The sequence below is a fragment of the Homo sapiens genome, chromosome 12 (assembly GCF_000001405.40).
Source record: "Homo sapiens chromosome 12, GRCh38.p14 Primary Assembly".
In the NCBI taxonomy this organism is placed as follows: domain Eukaryota; kingdom Metazoa; phylum Chordata; class Mammalia; order Primates; family Hominidae; genus Homo; species Homo sapiens.
In genome coordinates, this window is record NC_000012.12 from 69,606,342 (window position 1) to 69,611,145 (window position 4,804).

General features: G+C 44.1%; 1 protein-coding gene across 1 annotated transcript; it reads right to left on the minus strand.

Moving 5' to 3' along the window:
• Positions 1-2,222: 2,222 nt before the first annotated feature.
• LRRC10 (leucine rich repeat containing 10) lies at positions 2,223-4,566 on the minus strand. Its single transcript, NM_201550.4, has one exon. It carries the CDS (start codon positions 4,495-4,497, stop codon positions 3,664-3,666), a length of 834 nt encoding a protein of 277 aa, NP_963844.2. The 5' UTR covers positions 4,498-4,566; the 3' UTR covers positions 2,223-3,663.
• Between the last annotated feature and the right edge of the window lie 238 nt (positions 4,567-4,804).

A 4,804-nucleotide genomic window follows, 5' to 3' on the forward strand; every position in this document is an offset into this window, starting at 1 on the left:
ACAAATAGTATGCTTAAAAAAAAAAAAAAACAGGCAAAAGGCAGAGTAAAATTATCTAACAGGACCGACGTCTTCAGTCACATGCCTCCTGCCCCTTAAGAAACGGATTTCATGCCAAGGAATAGTCCCGTGTTTTCAAGTACTTTGGTGATTAATTCTAGAATAATAGATAAGGATGAAAGTATATTCATTTAGAAATTTGCAAATGCATCCTTGGTAATCATGTCTGTGTGTTTTCCTATTTTGGTAAGCCAGGAGCATTTGACCAAATTGTGGTTATATTTCTTACATTCAGGACTTTTAGATATTATGGTTGAAAATTTTCTGAAGAGAAAACAGCTTTTTTGTTCTATTGCCACTGTTTTTTTTCTCCTTCAAATCATGGGATGCCACTTTAAAAAAAAATCAAGGAATTACACTTGCTTTTAGGGTAAATATAGGTGTTGTGCTGCATGGTGTAGTACTTAGTAAAAGAACATTTTATATAAACCTTCACTGTCACATGCCAGGCACTGTTCTATGCATTTTATACACAGTAATGGGTTTAATCCTTACAGTGCTCTGCAGAAACTGTTATGATTTTACTGATGAGCAACTGAGGCACATAGATGATAACTGACTAGTACGTGGCAAGCCTAGGATTTGAACCCAGGTAGTCTGAAGGGCCATGCTCTTAGCCGCTATGCTACATTGCTTCTGGTTCACTGTGTTGGATATGTGCCTTTAGTTTGAGTTCAGTTGATTATTAGGGCACAAACCCACTTTTAAGTGAAAATTACAAACTCTAGAGATGATGCATTTTAGGACAAAATAAAGAAGCAAACTTGGTTGCTGATTCATTTCAATTGATTCCATGTTAAAGATTTCAGTTGGCATCACTCTTATTTATGGAATCTAAAATCCTATGTAAACTTCTGGAAGACATTTTCCCTTTGATGCATTAACACTTTGAGTTTCAAGACTTAAAAATCAGGAGCAAAAAAGTTACATTTGGTGCTTCAACATTTTCTTATTTTACTTTCTAATTGTGTCAACATTTCCAGAAACTATTAGAAGGGTTATAGAAATGTAAGTATGCATTTATATACTTTATAAAATTGATTGAAGGCCGGTTGCGGTGGCTCACACCTGTAATCCCAGCACTTTGGGAGGCCGAGGTGGGCAGATCACGAGGTCAGGACGAGACCATCCTGGCTAACACAGTGAAACCCTGTCTCTACTAAAAATACAAAAAATTAGCTGGGCGTGGTGGCGGGCGCCTGTAGTCCCAGCTACTTGGGAGGCTGAGGGAGGCTGAGGCAGGAGAATGGCGTGAACCCGGGAGGCGGAGCTTGCAGTGAGCCGAGATAGCGCCACTGCACTCCGGCCTGGGCGACACGGCAAGATTCTGTCTCAAAAAAAAAAAAAAAAAATTGATTGAAAATCTACAGTGAAAACATTTTTGGAAAGCAAATTCAACAGCGAACACTTGACCATACCATTTGAGAAATGTTCTTTGTGTATTGACTGTTTTAGAAGAAAACAGCTTGATTATGGGCCAAAATGTTTATAATTTGACTACTGATTCAGACCAGTTAGCTCTTTAGATGACAGTTCTGTATGGATCAATTGGCTTCACTCTGTTTTATGGTTATAGTCTGCAACTACAGAATGGCCGATTAATCTTGGGAAGGGTAAGACAGGGTCAAAAGAAAGTCAGAAATCTATAAACCTTGCTATAGATTAAGCTTAGAATGCAAGTTCTGTTGACAAAAGTTTCTAGCATCAGCTGAGTATAATTTGGCTTCCGTCATTAGGAATGAGATAAATCCTAACTGTCCAACAGAAATATGGACTTGTTTCTAAAGGAGTTAAATATGTTTGACCTGAAAGTTTAAACCTATTACATTAAATGATTAAAGGGACCTTTTTTGGCAGTCTGATCAATGGGTTGCAAATGCTCTGCAGATGGGAGGTGACGATAGGAAGGAATTATGCAACATCATCCTTCCTCTAGTTTAGCAGGAAATATTTCTGGTAGGAAGACATACATGAAAATAGGTCTGCTGTGTAATGTCATTTTAGAACCAAACTTTGTTGGGTTAAGATGCTTTTACAGAAAACATCCTTTTAAAAACTTGGTACTGTATGTTTTAGTTAAGATAACACTTTTTGTGTCCTTGTTTGCTGAAAACGTTCAAGTACATAAAGAATTGTATTATTAAATTACCCACTGACAACAATTTCTTTAAAGTTTATATATTTGTGGGAAGGTCACAATTTACATACTTCCAAAAAACAAAATACCTTGGTTTATACATTGTCAAAACAGTCTGTAAAAATCAAAACAAATTGAAACAAAGGCAGAGATACTAGGCGAAAGAGGCAGAGACTTCCTATATACACTACAACTTCCTATTCAAATTTCAAAGTGCTTGTTTCAAGAGAACACATTTCTCACCTACTACCTTTAAACTAACATGCTTCTGGAAATGTGGTTTTCCTCCAAGGACAGGGATTCAATTTAGCTCAGCTCTGGCTCATTAGTGTGAATAAACAGAAGGGCTTTGCTTCAGGGAGGTAGACAGGAATCACAACAAGGCTTGACTTTAATGAGACCACATTACCACAGAGGTTCTCTTTTCCAGATGACTTCCAACATTGTCAGTGACAGTCAACTGTTGGGAGCAGATCTTGGGACAAACCTTTTAGGGAAAATGAACTAAATCAGCATGAGCCACTGTCAAGTTTAAGGTGACAGCTGAAGGCTGGGTGTGGTGGCTCATGCCTGTAACCCCAGCACTTTGGGAGGCTGAAGCAGGAGCATCGCTTGAGCCCAGGAGTTTGAAACTAGCTTGGGCAACATAGCAAGACCTCATCTCTACGAAAAAATTAAAGACTTAGCCAGGTGTGCACATCTGTAGTACCAGTTACTGGGCAGGCTGAGGCGGGAGGAAGGCTTGAGCCCAGTAGTTCGGGGCTGCAGTGAGCCATGATTGTGCCACTGCACTCCAGCCTAGCAACAGAGTGAGACCTTGTCTCTAATAATAATAAAAGGGGCAGCTGGAGTCCACCAAGAAGTATTGTCCATCAGGGATCTTTTCAGCAGGCACTAAACTGCTGGGGAAAGAGTTTCATCTTGAGCCTTTACAACAACAAACAACTTTTTTCTGTGAATCTGACTGATTGCCTAGGTAGAAATGTCCTTTTCGGTGGCCTCAGTGATACATTGATACTGTTTATGGTCATTTACAGTAAAGAAAATATGTCCTGCAAAGAGACAGACCACCAGAATATTTAGTTCTATGGCAAATACCTTATTTGAGGAGCTCATGAGCTTCATGACCAGTCACTTCTGGAGAGTGCAGGAGTTCAGAGTGTCCCAGCCCCTTTTGCTCTTCAGTGTTTCAAAATACATGTGTGGAGAAGCTGTTTTCTTGCAAAGAAGTTATGATCTCTGGATTGTCATGCCATCATTGGCACACAACTCCCCTCTGGAAGAGGAGCTGTTTGCCAGAAATATTTTCTCAGTGTGATTTATGGCATTCCACCTGGCTCTCTCCATCAGTCTCTACTAGCAGAGCCACTCCCAAATGACCCAGAGCCATCCTTTCCACTCCAATGGAGAGGCTTCCAGAACATGCTGCAGTTGGGTCCTTGGCATTGACTTGCAACTGAAGCTCCTCAGGAGTTGGTAGGAGGAAGTAGAGGGACTGGTGCCTGTAGCTCCTGGCTTTCCTCTCTGACCAACGCATAGCGCCTGGCTTTTCTAGGGTCGGGCTCTGGCGTCTCCTCTGCCCATCTCCCCACACGGCGCACACCTTTGGCCACCTTGGGTGCGTTCCTGCAAGGATTGTGGTCATAGATGACCAGCTTCAGACTTGACAGGTGCGCCAGGCTGGGGAAGTAACGGATGCTGTTCCAGTCCACATCAATCACCTCCAGGAAGGGCATGTGAAGCAGCACAGTGGGAAAGTCAGTTAGCCGGTTGCCCGAGAGCCAGATGGTCCTCAGCTCCTGGAGGCGCCGGAGCTGGCCTGGCAGCAAACGCAGGGCGTTGGAGCCGGCATGCAGAGTCTTAAGGAGACTCAGCTCACAGACCACATCCGGCAGCTGGGTGAGGCAGTTGGCCTCGATCCACAGGGTCCTGAGGTTCTGGAGCAGGCTCAGCTCACTGGGGAGGTCGCAGAGTTTGTTGTTGCCCAGGTAGAGGATGCAGAGCTGTTTCAAGGTGCACACCACCTGGGGCAGAGCCTTGAAGTTGTTGAAATCCAAGGCCAGAATCTGCAGGTTCTGTAGCTGCCCCAGCTCCGGAGGCAGGCTATTGAGGTGGTTGTCGCTCAGGTAGAGCTTGACCAGCTCCCTGAAGGAGCACACGTGCAGGGGGAAGCGGCGTAACTGGCTCCCACTCAGATCCACCATCTTGTCCAGCGGCATCTCACGGAGGTCCCTGACCACATAGTTCTGGCAACGGTCAGCAGGGATGAAGGCCACGAGGGCCCTGATGGTGTTCCCCATGCGGAGGCTGGGGGCATGGCGAGCCCCAGAGGACAGACTCACTGAGCGGGGCTGGCTCAGCTGACTGCTCTGGGGCCTATCCTACCCTCCCATTATAACTTGGGGATTGCATGACAAAAGCCAGTCACTTTGACAGAGAAAAGTGCTCCTGATAGCAACTTGAGTGTCCGGCGACAGCGCAACAGTCCGGCAGGGGCTGGGAGGCCATGTCTGACTCACATGCTTGCCTTTAATCACCTAAGCCCCAATCCCCTTTATCAACCTTTTTTCATTTCAAGCTGAAAATAGCTTTGCTGTTTTTTTCCCT

Excerpts from the sequence above, each read along its gene's own strand:
- LRRC10 (NM_201550.4), bottom strand. The coding sequence starts at position 4,497 with ATGGGGAACACCATCAGGGCCCTCGTGGCCTTCATCCCTGCTGACCGT.